General features: G+C 45.6%; 5 annotated features.

Annotated features, from left to right (window-relative positions):
* Positions 664-1,461: an enhancer, noted in NCBI's record as "H3K27ac-H3K4me1 hESC enhancer chr2:42367980-42368777 (GRCh37/hg19 assembly coordinates)". NCBI's record gives its function as "activates a minimal SCP1, AML or CMV promoter by ChIP-STARR-seq in naive H9 embryonic stem cells {active_cell/tissue: H9 hESC(naive)}" and the evidence as "EXISTENCE:reporter gene assay evidence [ECO:0000049][PMID:30033119]".
* Positions 798-1,092: a silencer, noted in NCBI's record as "tiled region #8510; K562 Repressive non-DNase unmatched - State 6:EnhF". NCBI's record gives its function as "represses a minimal TATA promoter and a strong SV40 promoter by Sharpr-MPRA in K562 cells {active_cell/tissue: K562}" and the evidence as "EXISTENCE:reporter gene assay evidence [ECO:0000049][PMID:27701403]".
* Positions 7,649-8,620: an enhancer, noted in NCBI's record as "H3K27ac-H3K4me1 hESC enhancer chr2:42360821-42361792 (GRCh37/hg19 assembly coordinates)". NCBI's record gives its function as "activates a minimal SCP1, AML or CMV promoter by ChIP-STARR-seq in primed H9 embryonic stem cells {active_cell/tissue: H9 hESC(primed)}" and the evidence as "EXISTENCE:reporter gene assay evidence [ECO:0000049][PMID:30033119]".
* Positions 8,621-9,594: an enhancer, noted in NCBI's record as "NANOG-H3K27ac-H3K4me1 hESC enhancer chr2:42359847-42360820 (GRCh37/hg19 assembly coordinates)". NCBI's record gives its function as "activates a minimal SCP1, AML or CMV promoter by ChIP-STARR-seq in naive H9 embryonic stem cells {active_cell/tissue: H9 hESC(naive)}" and the evidence as "EXISTENCE:reporter gene assay evidence [ECO:0000049][PMID:30033119]".
* Positions 14,441-14,650: an enhancer, noted in NCBI's record as "active region_15643". NCBI's record gives its function as "activates an Ori minimal core promoter by ATAC-STARR-seq in GM12878 lymphoblastoid cells {active_cell/tissue: GM12878}" and the evidence as "EXISTENCE:reporter gene assay evidence [ECO:0000049][PMID:35858748]".

Raw genomic sequence — 17,025 nt, 5'->3', positions numbered from 1 at the left:
CTCATACGTCCATGAGGTTGTAACTTAATCTGAAAATATAGTCTTTCCTGGAAGAGACTTGAGCAGCAATTTATCATTTTATAATTTGTGGTTTAAATTTGAGCCATAAACCAAGCAGCTGTATTGGTTTGAGGCACTTTTGAATCTTCTTAAAACCCCAGGAGGCAAGAGGACAGCTTTAAACTTGAGGCTCCAAACTCTTGGGGTTTAACTGAGAGAACACGAAGGACAACGTTTCTGTGTGCCCTCTCTTTTCTTAGGAAATGTATGGAATGCATGCCTTTGTTTGTTTTAGACTTGGGAAGAAAAAGCAGACTTTGATAGCTGGAGCCACAAGCCGGCCCCTCGTATCTTATGACATCGGGTTTTCGTACATTACAGGGTCCCCTGGGAAATGAGAAGCTGGAAGCCGAGAGAGGGGGAAATGGGCGGAGAAAGGGGAAGCAAGGGGAAGGGAGGAGTGCCGGAGATAACTCTGCTGACTTCACAATTTTCCACCGGGGCCTGCCCTGCCTACCTTTGTTGACATCAAAGCTCATTGAGAAGCCTCTGTGTGCTGGCTCAGTCAGCCCTGCCTGCTGCCAGTGGGAAAAGGAATTGGCAACTAGCCCTACAACAAAACTGAGAACATAATTCTTGAAATTAACTTTTCCTTAAAAATTTTTTTTTCCATCTTGGTATGGCAGCTCTGGGTCCCGTCCGCCACCACTTGCTGGGGTTCAAGCATCCACCAGGGAGGAAAGCAGCTTTTACACAGATATCTCCAGAAACTCGGGCAGCCTCCCAAGGTGTCTCACTGGTTCTGCAGCAGTGTTGGCTTTCTGTGGGCTGATGGGTGTGGCTTTTGCAATCATGTTGGGGCGCCTGGATTTGGGAAGCCTGGGCTCCTTTATGCAGAGCAATGCAGAGCATCAGATTTTGGCTGGCAGCTGAGCTCTCAAGTCGGCTGCCGTTTCGTCTCTCCTCCCTGCTCCCCTGCTGGGATTCGTTTGTTTCCATTCCCATCTCTCTTTTCTTTGGAGTCCTCTGGCCCCTCTCCAGGGAGAAAGCAGAGGAAATAAGATGACCATCCTGTCTGCTGTCACTTATGACCTTCAAATCTGCTTATCACTTGAATCCCAGGACAAAAAGAGTCACAGCACCCTTACTGAGCAAAAGCAACTTGCCATAGATTCTACATGTTAAAACCCAGTTGGACAGCACAGTTAAAATATATGCCTGTGTGGCTGGGCGTGGTGGCTCATGCCTGTAATCCCAGCACTTTGGGAGGCCAAGGCGAGCAGATCACAAGGTCAAGAGATTGAGACCATCCTGGCCAACATGGTAAAACACCGTCTCTACTAAAAATACAAAAATTAGCTGGGCGTGGTGGCGTGCTCCTGTAGTCCCAATTACTTGGGAGGCTGAGGCAGGAGAATTGCTTGAACCGGGGAGGTGGAGGTTGCAGTGAGCTGAGATCCCACCACTGCACTCCAGCCTGGTGACACAGTGAGACTCCATCTCAAAATAAATAAATAAGTACATAAAAAATTAAAAGAAAATATATGCCTGTGTGTTCTATCTCATAGCTCTCTGCTCCAACAGCCTCAGGCAGTATGAGGCATGCTACCCTTTACCATCTTCTCCTGTTCAATATGAATCTAAAGATAAGCCTGGGCTAGAAGTAGGTTCCCTGGCAATCCAGCTCCAGCAACAAAGAAAGCTGAGCATAAAAAGCAGTTTACAGTTTCTGCAACTGGTTATAGATTGTATTTATTTGTTTATTTAATTTAATTATTATTATTATTTTTTGAGATGGAGTCTCGCTCTGTTGCCCAGGCTGCAGTGCAGTGGCACAGTCTCGGCTCACTGCAACCTCTGCCTCTTGGGTTCAAGTGATTCTCATGTCTCAGCCTCCCAAGTAGCTGGGACTACAGAAACACACCAGCATGCCTGTTTTAGTAGAGACGTGGTTCCACCATGTTGGCAGGCTGGTCTTGAACTCCTGACCTCATGTGATCTGCCTGCCTCGGCCTCCCAAAGTGCTGGGATTAGAGGTGTGAGCCATTGTGCCAGGTCAGATTGTATTTACAAGTCACAGGATGTCAGCATCCTCCCATCTTTTTTTTTTTTTTGAGACAGGATCTCACTTTGTCACCTAGGCTGGAGTGCAGTGGTGTGATCTCGGCTCATGGCAGCCTCGACCTCCTGGGCTCAAGTGATCTGCCCACGTTGGCTTCCCAAAATGGTAGGATTACAGGCATGAGCCACTGCACTCGACCTATTTTCCCTTTTTTAAATTTACCACTGCTAGGCCGGGTGCGGTGGCTCATGCCTATACTCTTGTCCTTAAGGGAAGTAATAGGAATTGTCACATTTTAGATAAGAAATTGGTGAGCACAGTAATTCAAACCCTATATTTTGAAACCAGGGATTTTAAAATTGGGAAATGAGAACTTAAACAACGTAATTAAGAGGCCTGCCTGAGGTAAGGGTTCATTAGTTAATCCCATGAACAAGAATTAGCACCTGAGTCAGTTTGGAACTATGCATCCTCAAGGACCCAAATCCAGATGAGACAGGTGAGAGTGTTACTCAAAACTAAGCTTACTACAAGAGATGCAATTAGCCAGGTGTGGTGGTGGGTGCCTACAGTCCCACCTACTTGGGAGGCTGAGGCAGGAGAATGGCTTGAACCCGGGAGGTGGAGATTGCAGTGAGCTGAGATTGCACCACTGCACTCCAGCCTGGGAGACAGAGTGAGACTCTGTCTGAAAAACAAAAAAAAAAAAAAAAGAAAAAGAAAAAAAGAAAAAAAAAGAGATGCATTGAAGTTATTTTCTGCTTAAGAGAGCTGAAACCCTGCCCTTGGTTATCTAGACTCACATTGACTCCCCCAGACTGCCAATGCATTTGAAACTGATTCAAAATGCTTTTTGGAGATCCATCTCAATTCAGCTTGCAGGCATTCTTGGGGCCCCCTTCCAAGAAGAAATGGACCGGCATCCTGTCTGGGCTAGACCCAAGTTAGGCTCTGTCTGTCTGGGAGAATGTCATTTCTGCTTTTGAATGTCTGATGGCTAAAGCTCCAGGCTCTTGCTCCTCAATCAACACCACCACATATTCGCAGTGTTGGCTCGACTTGCAGACCTTAATCTTTAGCTCCCACATAGATGAGACAATTCTTTTTTTAAAGACATTAAGGATATATTAAGCTTCTCTTCCCTGAATTCTGTTTCTCAAACTTCCATCATCATCCCCTACTACTACTTACTGAGTACCTAGTATGACCTAGATACTGGGGCAAACAAGGGAGACTTGGTCCATGCCTTCATAGGCCTTTAAGTACCATAGGTAATAATTGTATCATTGTATAACCAAGTTAGAGATAAAAAAATAAAATGACAGACAGCTCACAGCCTTCTGTCTCATTAATATTGCATTCACCCCACCTAACAAAGTAGGAGATCTAATAGTCAAGTTCTTCAGTGTTCTCTTGGCTCACTTCCCAGCTGTGGTCAAATTCTCTGCATGCTCTTTCCTCCTTTTCTGGATTACTTGAGGAATTGCCAGGAGAGCAGAGGCATGAAGAATGCAGGCAGCGAAAGAGAAAAAGCATCTGCAAATGACTGACCGAAGCCAGTTGTAGTTAGACAGAATCAGGGTTCTCAGTTGCAAGCAACAGAAACCAACTCTGATTGATTTAAACAGAAAAATAATTTGTTGAAATGCTATTGGGCAACTCATAGAAAAACTGGGAAGGCTAGAGAAATAGGCTCAAAAAACACAGGAACCAGAAATTCAGGATCACAGCCAAGGCTATAGGTACAATCACAGCACAGGGCCTAAGATGATGATACCACTGTTGCCACTGCCCAGTGCTGGACCACAACTTACATTGTCACCCTCTTCAGCTGCAGACACTGGATACCACCATAAGCACCACTGCACTGGGAGCTTGTATATTTTTGCTGCCCTGCAGTTTCCTGTGAAAAGGGATCCGTATTTGTTGGTGCCAGTAATTTCTGATTCCTTCTGGAGCAGCTGCACCTGTTGGCCAAGTCTCGGTTATGTGTCCATATCCTACCTTTAAAAGAGACTAGAAAGGAGAGTATCTGGGCCAGGCGTGGTGGCTCATGCCTGTAATCCCAGCACTTTGGGAAGCCAAGGTGGGTGATCACCTACGGTCAGGAGTTCGAGACCAGCCTGACCAATATGGTGAAACCTTATCTCTACTAAAAATATAAAAATCAGTCGGATGTGATGGTGGGCACCTGTAGCCCTAGCTACTCAGGAGGCTGAGACAGGAGAATTGCTTGAACCCGGGAGGTGGAGGTTGCAGTGAGCTGAGATCACCCCACTGCACTCCAGCCTAGGTGACCAAGCAAGACTCCGTCTCAAATAAAATAAGATGAAATAAAATAAGAGAGTATCTGGTCCTTAGGGCTCTTTCTTAGGACACCAAGATTCATAAAAAGGTAAATGTCCTAAACATGTGAAGGGAGTTCAGATGCTGAGTAACCACAAATGACTCTACCTAAACCTCCTTCCTCTAATCCCATGTGATAGGGAGGGCCTGGGTCAACATTGCTGAAGAGCCAGAAAATCAGAAATGAGTCCAGTATCCACATTCCAGCACTAAGCCCAGTATCTACCAACCCGAGAAGCAACTGCCCTAGGCAAGCAAGGGCAGCACAATCAGGTTGACCTCTCCTCGGGGACGAAGGAAAGATGGCCCCCTCTCTCCCACAGGAGACTCCCTCAGCCCCAGTGAGGAGAGGAGAGGGAGCAGTGGGCAGGCTGTTTGATCCTCCCCACCTGCACCTGGATCAGCCCTGCCTGCTCCAGTCATCCTTTTCACACCAGCAGGAAGGAAATTGAAGCTACTGCCATTGAAAACACAAAAGACAAAAGCCCGTGCCAGAGGTTTGTACCTTTGGCCTTGACCTCTCATCCCAGGCCTGCTGCTTAGATTTTTGATAATCTACAGACTCACCATGATTTTGCCACAGCTAGCCACCAAGCCCTAGGGGTGTTACCTGAGATGGGGATGGGTGGGCACGGAGAGGGACATGTGTGTTAATCAACAACCCACAGCCCCTGGGCCTCAAATAAAACAAACAAAAAAATGGAAACTCTGTTTTGAGTCATCTAATTATTTGTTCCCTGCCTTTGGAGGAGAGGCAAACTAACCCAAAGTGTAGCCCTCATTAGAAGGTGATCCATACCATCAGGGAGTCTCTCAAGTCATTCTCACGATCCTATCCTGGGGTGGGCCCTTGGTGACATCCTGTTTTCCTCTATTCCTTTACTGGGGATGTGGCTGGGAAGCGCCTTCTTGGCAGGGTGCATAATTCCCACTGTCTGATTCTAGCTTGGGGAGAGGAGGGTGGGGTGACAAGTAGAGTGTGTCTGTTCCCATTCTTTCCTCTACCCCTAACCACAAACTTAGCTTCCACCCCCACTCTTTCCTTAAGGCTGTCAGAAGCTCCTGAGGGAGCCACATATGAAGGCTTCATAACAGCTCTGGGCTGTTGAAAACTCCTGAGTACACGTTTATTAATAAAAATCACTAGAAACCAATATATTTAGAATACATTAGCTTAATTCCTTATAAAAATTTTTGCACTGAGCCAAGGTTCAATACTGGAGTTCTGACTTCTTTTTTTTTTTTTTTTTTGGGACAGGGTCTCTCGCTCTGTCACCTAGGCTGGAGTGCAGTGGTGCCATCTCGGCTCACTGTAACCTCCACCTCTGCCTCCTGGGCACAAGTGATCCTCCTACCTAAGCCTCCCGAGTAGCTGGGATGACAATGATGCCTGACTAATTTTTTTTTTGTATTTTTAGTAGAGACAGGGTTTCACCATGTTGCCCAGGCCGGTCTCGGACTCCTGAGCTCAAGCCATTTGCCTGCCTCGGCCTCCCAAAGTGCTGGGATTACAGGTGTGAGCCACTGCTTCCCACCAGTTCTGACTTTCTTAGAGGGTAATCACAGAAAAACAAACAAACAAACAAACAAACAAACCCTTTTTGTATATTCTGAAAACTCAATTGGAGTCATTGCTCATTCTGTTTCTCAGAATCCTGTCTTTTAGGATCTATGTAATAAATTTCACTTACAATTTAGCATGAGGGAAAAGATTACATTTCCTCATGAGCTGATATTGCTTCCTTTTTTCAGACAGTAAGAGTGATGTAACCAATTGTGTTTCACTTTTTGATTGAGCTGTCAGGAAGCCCAGACTTCAATTTAGTATCCATTTACAGAATTATCTTATCTCTGGTTCCTGATCTTCTCCTTCCTCTGTATGGCTTCCCATCTCCCCTTTCATCTGTATGTCAACTGTCTCCCCTATTTGCACAGGTCAGCTACACCCAAGGCCACCCAGAAGTTGATCTCACTTTCCTGAGTACCCAGGCTAGTTGGAGAGAAAAACTCACAGGCTAGCACACAGGGAACTATTAGCAGAATATGTTCAAATGTTAAATTAGAAGAAAAAGAGTTTTAGGGATTGAGCAGACAGATTAGTGAAAATTGGAGCAGTCAAAAGAAAGCTTCCTGAAGGAGGTGGTACTCAGAGCAGACAGATTAGTGAAAATTGGAGCAGTCAAAAGAAAGCTTCCTGAAGGAGGTGGTACTCAGAGTAAGCTTCGAAGGCTTGCAGTTCGTTTCAGGGGTTCATTTCAGTGGACCAGCTATATGCCTTGGTTTGGACCATAGGAGGCTTTGGGGCAAATACCTGGGACGTTGGTTGTCTCTTCCCTTGAGGGCAGGTTCTGAAGCTCTCTGACTAGCTGGTGCACTGCTTTCTGGGAATCAACTATGTGAGGCTGATAGAGTCAGTCCTCAGTAAAATGGTACAGCAGGTGGCACTGGTCTAGGTGCTATTGGTGTTTACGATGGGACAATTCTTCATTAGAACAAAACTTCATTGGAACTATACCTAATGTACTATATTTAGCATCTTGATCCACATCTGCCAAATGCCACTAGCAACCCCTAATTTTTGGGACAACCCCAAATGCCTGTATGCTTTCCCTGCAGCCCCTGGGGGACAGTTCCACACAGATGAGACCCACCACTCCCTCAAATGCCTGAGGTTCTCCTCTCTAGCCTGCCACCCAAACTAGGATTTCCAGATTTAGCAAAAACACAAAACAAAACAAAACAAAACACAGATCATCCCGTCAAATTTGAATTTCAGACAATGAATTTTTTATTATAAATATATCCCAAATATTGCATTAGTTTTCTATAGCTGAAATTAAAATATAACTAGGGGTCTTTATTTTATTCATTGCCCTACCCACAACCCTTCATCACCACAGACAAACCTGCTTTCCAGAAATTTCCATTCAGTTGATCATGCTCTGTGTACTGAATCATTCCCTACTTGTCTGTTAAGACTCATCTATTTTGTATTTCAGTCACGCATATTCACTGTCTGTGCTAAGTCTCAGTTGGATGGTAAATACTTTTTTTTTTTTTTTTTTTGAGACGGAGTGTCCCTCTGTGGCCCAGGCTGGAGTGCAGTGGTGTGATCTCGGCTCACTGCAACCTCCGCCTCCCAGAGTCAAGCGATCCTATCCTCCCACCTCAGCCTCCCGAGTAGCTGAGACCACAGGCACACGTCACCATGCTTGGGCTAATTTTTTATTTTATTTTTTGTAGAGACAAGGGTCTCACTATGTTGCCCAGGCTGGTCTTGAATTCCTAGGCTCAAGCGGTCCTCCTGCCTTGGCCTCCCAAAGTTCTGGGATTATAGGCATGAGCCACTGCACCTAGCCGGTAAATACTTTTAATCGGAATAAGAAATTCTTCTTAATATGTAGGCTAGTTATCCCATCCAGATAATATTTTGCCTTAAGTGGTTAAAGTACACATCACTTCTTAGACCCTTCTGAATGGTGGTGGGAGGACAGATAAGAACCATTGTTAGGGCTTTTGGCTGATGGCCTACAACCCCAAGATCCCAATGACTTCTAACTTTGGCTGCACAATGGGAGCTTTTCTTTTTTCTTTTCGTTTCTTTTCTTTTTTTTTTTCGGAGACGGAGTCTCGCTCTGTCGCCTAGGCTGGAGTGCAATGGCGCAATCTCAGCTCACTGCAACTTCTGCCTCCCAGGTTCAAGCGATTCTCCTGGCTCAGCCTCCCAAGTAGCTGGGACTACAGGCGCGTGCTGCCATGCCCGGCTATTTTTTTGCATTTTAGTAGAGATGGGGTTTCACGGTGTTGCCCAGGCTGGTCACGAACTCCTGAGATCAGGCAATCCGCCCGCCACAGCCTCCCAAAGTGCTAGGATTACAGGCATGAGCCACCGCGCCTGGCCACAATAGGAGCTTTAAGCAGTACTAATGCCTGGTCCTACCCTCAGGACTCTGAATTAATCTGGGGCAGAGCCTGGGACTGGGGAATTTTTTTTAACCACAGCCCCTTCCCAGGGTGGTGCTAACATGCAGCCAAGATTAGAATCACTGCTATCCTTCCTGAGAAAAGAGAGAGAAAGGAGAGACGTGGAAGAGAGGGAATGAGAAAGCAGGAGACCAGATTTCAGGTGCTCTGCTTGGCAGTGGTAATCGAGGGGATTTGGAAGAATCAAGAGGCAAACGCATTCCAACCAAGCAGGGAAGGAGCGGTTCAAAAAAGTAATATACTCCGAATGTGTTCCATTTCAAGCAAAACAGATGTAAAAGAGTACTTCTGAAGAACCCAGAGAGTGCTTCATTTTGTGCCAGATGGCGTCCTTAGAGATGCCCCAGTTTCCCAAAAAGAGTCCCCCAGGGAGAGTCCCATTTTTCTTGATTACCCCGTGATTCTAACCAATACCAGCAGCACGTTCAGAGCCCAGGCTGCTCACACGCATGGCCTTGCTGGTGTTGGCTGAGGAGCAAGCTTCTGATGTCACCATGGGCACCTCAGCAAAAGAGGCTGCCCTCTCGCTCCGTGTAGCCTGTGAGCCCGGGATGTCCCAGTGCCATTAGCACATGCCTCCCTCCCCACTGACAAGTAGGTCAGCACAGACGCAGCTCCAGCCGCCACTGAGAGCTGCTTGCTGCTGGCAGGAAGCTGCTTCTGCAGAATTAAAAACCATCAGAGTTGATCAAAGGAAGTGCAAGGTAGGCTGGCGGGCGGGCCAGATCCTAATCTCTGCTCGCTGGCCTCACACATCACTGCACATGAGTCACCCCGCTGAGCTCAGCGGACATGCTGTTTGGATTAGGCTTTTACAGGCGAGCTTTGCCAAACTTGCCTTTGCTGTCTTGCTGCACAGAGCAGCTGAGAGGCAAGGCGGGAACGTGGGGATGTGGGTTAGATGTGGCTGTCCAGGTGTCAAAAGGAGGTGGTCAGCTCCCCAGGCATGCGTGATTGTGTCTTCAGGGGGTGGCTGTTAGTCCTAGTGCCCCCAGCCCATCTTCCGTGCTTAGCTCAATGAACCCTATTAGGAATAACAGAGCCCGCAGCAGGCCCACACCTCCTTCCTCTCTTGCCAGCTCTCCAATTAAGATGTACTATTACAGGACATGCATCTTGCCTTCACTCAACCATTTGCCTCTCAACCAGAAGGAATTCCTTTTCTCAAAAGCAAGCAACACTTCACCACTCAGGCATCTTGCCTCAAAAAAAGTGGAGTCCAGTGAAAAAGGGATGGAAGTCAGAAAAATAAAAATTCCTAAATGAAGAGCCAACCCATAAAAGCAGGGCTTCCCCTAGTGCCTAGTTGGCGTGACATCACCATGAATTACTCAATGAAAATGGTGTCAGAGTGGCAGCTAGATTATTTGGGGAAAGTTTCCTCAAGAAACAGAACTCCACAGGAAATAAGAAGGGGTAGGAAACTCCAGCCCTGCACTTAGGTCTTTTGGTGCTTCCTCTAGAGGGGCTGATTTTCCTGAGCAGACGGCAAGGTGAGATTCTCTTCCAAGCAGGGTCTTGGTGCTCAGGAGCCGGAGTAGATAGAACTCAGTGGTTTGTTTTGCTTCCTTCTCTGGAAGCAATGGTAGGAACAGGATCAAAATCCTCTGTTTCAGATACTGCCAAGTTTTGCTTCTGTGCGTGGTAACTTGGGAAGAAGCAGCCCCCACTATTTTGTAAGCCAAAGATTCTTGGCTTGTAGCCTCTCCCGGGATTCTCTTTAGAGTATTTTAGACTTTCATGTAGTAAAGGCATCTAAATGGAGGTGGCAGTCCTTGACGCTTTGCAAATAAATGTTGCCACCAGTCCCTACACCAGTTTCGACCATAAATCCCAAATTTCTGCATTTACCATTGCTCAATTCGATGTGATTTTTAAAGTTTGTTGTTGTCGTTCATGGCTTTTCAGGTTTCTACTTATCTATCCATAATTCTCACAGTGGTCAAATTTTGGTCATGAACCTGTCTTTTTTTCCTCCATTCCTCCTTCAGCATTTTCACTTTAAAATGGAAACAGAGATGGAAGGTGCCACCCTGGATAGGCTTCTAACTGGAAAAGCATTCTACAGCAGAATGGCAGGGTGGTTAGGGTCTGGCTGTCAGGCAAACCTGTGTTTGAGTCCTGGCTCTGCCACTAAATAGTAGTGTCATCTTGGAGTAATTTTCTTAGCTCTTCACAGCTCAATCTTTTCATATGTAAAATGTGAATAATAATAGTCCTAAATTCATTGGTGAGGATTAAATGAGCTAATACAAGTAAAATATTCAGCACATGTCCCTAGTACTTAGGCAGCATATAAGAAATGTATTATTCTTTATATCACAATAATTACTCTACCACAAGCGTTATTATTTTTGGCAAATTTAATCAGAGTCTACAGCAACAATTCTTCCTTCTGAAATTCCTCTGTGCCCGAGTTAAAGTTTGTTTTAATCGAAAGTATTCACTTGAAGTGCCTGTGCTTAATTGGAATTGTCCTCATTTTTTGTTAGGAAAAGACCATGAGAGAGGAGGAGGAGAGGATCGTTTATAAATGATTAAAAGGAGGTACCTATACTTGGGGATTCCTGTCTGTAACTAAAAGAAGAAAAATCCCATGACACTAGAGGGCTTGCTATAGATGGGGAAAAGGGAGTTTCTCATTCACTTCTAGCAGGGACTGTTAGTAGAGAGGAAGCCCTGGGTAGGAATTTGCTGTGGCTCAGTGTATCGAAAAAGCACATCCACTCAGCTTCTATCAGTTCTCTGGATAGCCAGGGTGATGCTCACAAGTGGAGGCCTTCTGTTTAGAAAGGCACAGTGATGGTCTGGGCCCAGTGGCTCACGCCTGTAATCCCAGCACTTTGGAAGGCGAGGCGGGCAGATCACCTGAGGTCGGGAGTTTGAGACCAGCCTGACCAACATGGAGAAACCCCGTCTCTATTAAAAATACAAAATTAGCCAGGCGTGGTGGTGCATGCCTATAATCCCAGCTACTCGGGAGGCTGAGGCAGGAGAACCTGGGAGGCAGAGGTTGCGGTGAGCCGAGATGGTGCCATTGCACTCCAGCCTGGGCAACAAGAGTGAAACTCCGTCTCAAAAAAAAAAAAAAAAAAAGGCACAGTGATGGGCAGCATTTCCAGTGCCAGGTAGGCCCAGGGCATAGTCTATAAGTGGTGGTGGGGGGCCAAAAAAAGGGGACTGGAGCCACTCTGAATAACAAAAGCAAAGTCATATTTTAATTTAGTTGGATGGAATATGTTGCCTTTAGAAAGACCTCCTCACTAATACAGAATTAGGTTGAGAATGATTGTCTTTGGGGTGTGTGCATGTGTGTGTGTGAGAGAGAGAGACAGAACGAGAGAGAGAGAGAGATCTAAGAGTTACTCATAGGAGATCAGAAAACCATAGGAAGAGTGAGGAGGAATATGTTGACCTCAAGCTGGCGGAAGAACCCTGAAAAGAATAAGAAAAGGAGAAATGAAGCCTACTATGGATTATTTTGGGAATCATCTAACTATGTGGCATGATTCCTATCTGAGTAACTCAGACTGTGAAAAATGTATTGCTGTGGATTATCCATATATTACAGATTAGCCTATTTGGGGAAGAGGGGTAGACATTGTGAACCCTTTTGAGTGGGAATATCATAAAAGAGGGTTCCATTAAAATGTAAGCACTGTGAGGGCTTGAATTTTTGTCATTTGTGTTTACTGCTCTATTCTAGCACCTAGAACAATGTGTCATTCCTGTGTCACCTCTTGTATCAGTTCCCTACTGCTGGTGTAACAAATTACCACAAATTTAGTGACTTAAAACCACACATTCATTATTGTCCTGATCTGGAGGTAGAAGACCTAAAATCCAGGTGTTGGCAGGGCTGCGTTCATTCCCGAGGCTTTGGGGGAGAAGGAGTTTTCTAGCCCTTTTCTGAAGGTTGCCTGCGTTCCTCGGTTCCCGCCTCACATCACTCTGACCTATGCTTCCATCCTCTCATTTTCTCTGATTCTGACTCTCCTGCCTCCTTCTGTCCCTCATGAGGATCCTTGTGATTACATCATGCTTACCTGGATAAGCCAGGATCATCTCTCCATCTCAAGGTCTTTAACTTAATCACACCTGCAAAGTCCATGTAAGGTAAGATATTCACAGGTTCCAGAATGTGGACATTTTTGGGGATCATTATTCTGCCTACTACACCCCTGAGGCCACCATCAGTGTCATGTCAAGGGAAGAGGGCAGCCCTGAGTCCTGGGGCAGGACCCACAGTGCTGTGAGCGGAGGTCCCAGCTGAGTGTGGAGTTTAGGGACAGGTAAGAGCAGAGGGACAGGCTGCTGTGTGGACTGGCTTTGGGAATAAGAAACTTACTCCCTGTGTGCAGATATACTGGAGGAAGGTGCTTTTCAGTGACAGAGGCAGAAGGATAGATTCTGCTGTTATGACTACAAGGGCTGTCCAAGCAGCAGACACTCAGATTACAGCTCTTTTCCGGTTTGGGTGTTAAGAATTTGAGACAATTTGAAAAGTGTAGTGCCTGCTTTATGGCAGATGTGCAACTCACTAAGAGCCATCTATTATTAATACCAGAGGGTGAGGGGCCAGGGAGGTTCCAGGGCCCCAGCTGTCTGGGGAGGCAGGTCACATGGCTCTATATCCCCAACCCTGGGGAAACAGGAAGAAGAACTGTCAAAAGGGAATAAGGTATGGGGCAGGTGTGCAGAGGTAGAGTTTCAAATGCTCTTTATCTTAACTTCTTCCCACGCAAGCTAGGAGGAAGCATCTGGCCGGTTCTTTAATGAAACTTGGAACTCACTGCTGCAGTCAAGAAGGAAATATTCCTGCGGTTTTTCTGTGAGGGAAGAAAGTAATAAATCTTTCTGTTGTTGAAGCAACACCTTTCAGTGGTGTAGCTCTGAGAGGGATATATTATTCTTAAAGTGTATGTGCTTGAGAGTTTGTTACCATCAGGCCATCGGGAAGCTTCACAAAGGTCCTGAAGGTCAGGAACAAAGCATAGGAACAGAATGCGTGGTTAGGAGCTGGTAGTCACAAACTCTGGAGCAGTCACAGATGATGCAGATTTAAGAAATCTACATTCCTTTTAGAACAGTTAGATTTTTGGGGTGAGTGCTGGCTCTGGAAAGCCCGTTTGTATCTCCCTGTGGATTTCCTGAGGAGCCCCTCCTCCAAAATGGGGCATTCCATAATTAGCGCCTGCTTAGATCAGTCATGTGTGGTAGAAGAAGAGGACAAGATCTCGTTTTTAAGGAGATCACTTATTCTGCAAAAATGTGTTGAATCCTTGCCATATGCCTGGCACTGTTCTAGGTGCAGGGGATACGGTAGCGACCAAAACACAAAACAAATAATAAATCTGTTTTATCTGGTTGTGATAAGGAGGATAGAGGCAAATAAGGCAGAATAAAGGGCTCAAGAGTAGCAGTGGGTGTGCTGTCTGACATAGTGTGGCCAGGGATGGCCCCCTTAAGAATGGGATACTTGTGCAGAGACCTGAAAGAAGCAGAAAAGGCTGAGGGGCAAGTCAAACAGACATCTACAGAGTGCTCCAGGCAGAGGGAACATCCACCAAAGCATATGCAACAGCTCAGTTTTAGTGAGTGCTCTGTGCAGTGCTGGCCCAGATCTCAACATCCGTTCCTCTTGTTAGGCATAGCCCTCACCCACACTGCAGCTCCTGGCAACTCCTTGGTGTAATACATCCCAGTCCCTGGCATAATCTTGCATAAAGTGATGAGAACCTGGAGGAGGGCAACAGCAAGAAGGCATAAGAGTTTTTGAAGGGAAAATCAACAGCATGTTGTGACTATATATGGGGGCTGACTTGGGTTTTGCATCTAGGAGCCTGGGGTTAGAATGTCCAGCCATAAGGTAGCAGCCCAAAGCCTGTGTGGCATCTTTGTGACTCAGGATGGATTTATCAGTCTGTCCTTGAGGCAAAGGCTCACTCCAAATTCCATGTTTGTGTAGTCCCCACCTTTATTCGGTAAGTCGACCCAATGTAGCTGCTGTGCCTAAATCTCCTGAGCTTTCATGTATAAAGGACAGAGAAGACAAAGTTAGAGTGCACAGCAAACAGAAATGTTTATACTGAGATTGCTTTTGTGTGAAGCAGCATTTTCCCTCTGCTCCATTCACAGACAAGCCTGATTAGTGGAAATGTACATTGGATTTTTCAAAAACTTTTTTGCTGAATGGTTTCTACTTTCAAGGTACTATCTTCCCGAGAAGTGTGTTTCTATCTTGACAATATAACTTCAAATGATAGGTGTAAAGTGGTTTTTTTGAAAAAAAAAGGTGGTTTGCAAATGAGGAAGTAATGCTCTTTTAATACCTTGACTACTCAGGGGGGATGGAGCAAAGTCAGGCTCTGACATGCCTCTTGTTTCAAGTTCTGAAGGCTCTTGGACTGCAGCCTTTCCACAGCTTACCTCGAGTTGGCTAAGCACCTTTCCTCATGAGTAAAATGCAAATAGCAAGGTTGTTAGGGCCCGGGCATTTCTTTCTTTCTCCTGGGGAGTTTGTGAATTTCTAGGGTGTTTCTTTGCTGAGCTGAGATTTTATGAAATAAACAGTGTAAAGAGTCTTACTGTAATGGCTCCCACTAATACTAAATGCTAAATAGATACCAATAGATACCAAATAAATAAATACTAGTGTCTACAGAGCTTATGTTAAAAACGAAAGTCCTGGCTGGGTTCGGTGGTTCATGCCTGTAATCCCAGCGCTTTGGGAGGCCGAGGTGGGCAGATCGCCTGAGGTCAGGAGTTTGAGACCAGCCTGGCCAACATAGTGAAACCCCATCTCTTCTAAAAATACAGAAAATTAGCCGGGCATGGTGGCAGGTGCCTGTAATCCCAGCTACTCAGGAGGCAGAGGCAGGAGGATCGCTTTAACCCCGGCGGCAGAGTTTGCAGTGAGCCAAGATTGCGCCATTGCACTCCAGCCTGGGCAACAAGAATGAAACTCCATCTCAAAAAAAAAAAAAAAAAAAGGAAAGTCCTTATTAGTTAGAGATGCATGCTGAAGTATGTATTAGTGAAGTGATGCTGTGTCTGGGATTTGCTTTTTAAAATTCCAGCAAAAAAAAAAAAAAAAAAAAAAAAGAATAGTTGTGGGGGTGAGGGGCAATAGATGAAACAAGATTGGTGTATGTTGAGATTATCCAAGCTGGATGGTGGGTACATGGGGGTTCATTTTTACGTTTCTCTCATTTTGTGTGTGTTTGAAAATTTTCATGACAAAAACTTAAAAGAGAGAGAGAGAGAAAAAAAATGTCAATGTCTGATGCACTCTTTTCCCTCTTGACTCTGTTGTTACATAATAAACAGGGATCCTAATGTGGGGAATTTGATTATGGGAGTTTTTGCAGTATGACTTCAACGAAGAGAAAAGTTTGATGGATTATTTCTGGAGAGCGGAGTAGTCAAGGTTTCCAAGAAAAGTGATGTTGAAATGAATAATGAAGATTCCCTGCTCAGTGATGCAGCCCTTTCAGGCTCTTGACAAATGTTCTGGGAAATTGTGGAAGTGATCATTGTCACCTATGCAGCTCAGCACTGATTTGTGCAACATAGGAAAGACCCGCATACCCCAGCAGTTTCACTCAGTCCCTCGAGGACTTCAGTGAAATCTACTTGTACCTGGTGCCCAGTGTGGCAATTGCAGGTCAGTCCTGCATCCTGGCCATCTGGACGTGGTATTCTTAAAAGCCTCAGTGTTTTCCAGCCGGGACACCATTGAGGGAGGTGTATGCAGTGCAATCAGGCAGCTTGCAGCCAGTCTTTGGCAGTCTCACTAAGCCCAATCAGAAGGGCTGGAATGCAACACGGGAAGTTCTTCTTAGCCCCAGTCGCTAGGTCTGTAGGGTGGGGTGGAAATTGGCTTCTGGGTGACCACACCCAGCTCCCTATCCACTCTGCCCAGAGACTTTACATCCTCAACAGCTGCTGTCTGTGTTTGGCTTTCAACTCCTCTGCCTTGACCCAGCTCCCAGAGACCAGTTTACAGGAGACAACTGTGACACTAGCGTTCCGATCATATCTGACCTCAGCCCCCTCCTCATGGCCCCTCCTGCCACACACATTGTATGCCTTCATTTCCTTTCTAAGACAAGATTTATCTCAGAAAGTGGATCTTTGGTTAGCTCATGGCTTTGCTCTTGAGTTTCTTGAAACTTATTCCAAAAGCTCGTCACTTAAAATACAGGAAAAAATTGGCTAATTTTCTTTTAATGGGCTTCAGTAGAATAAAGAATAAGACGATGTAGATATATTTATTGTGAATTGCTTGGACTGCTCTGGAGTATGAGAATGGACAGTTAGTGATGCTTTATGAAGTTTCTTGGCCCTTCTGTATCATCATTAGTTTTATTTTTATTTATTTATTCATATTTATTTATTTATTTTTGAGACAGAGTCTCGCTCTGTCACCCAAACTGGAGTGCAGTGGCGCAATATCAGCTCACTGCAAACTCCGCCTCCTGGATTGAAGTGATTCTTCTGCCTCAGCCTCCCGAGTAGCTGAGATTACAGTCACCTGCCACCATGCCTGGCTAATTTTTGTATTTTTAGTAGAGGCAGGGTTTCACCATGTTGGCCAGGCTGATCTGAAACTCCTGACCTCAAGCAATCTA

Source organism: Homo sapiens, chromosome 2, assembly GCF_000001405.40.
Source record: "Homo sapiens chromosome 2, GRCh38.p14 Primary Assembly".
In the NCBI taxonomy this organism is placed as follows: domain Eukaryota; kingdom Metazoa; phylum Chordata; class Mammalia; order Primates; family Hominidae; genus Homo; species Homo sapiens.
The sequence above is the reverse complement of the archived record's forward strand: the minus strand, read 5'-3'. Positions and strand labels throughout refer to the sequence as shown.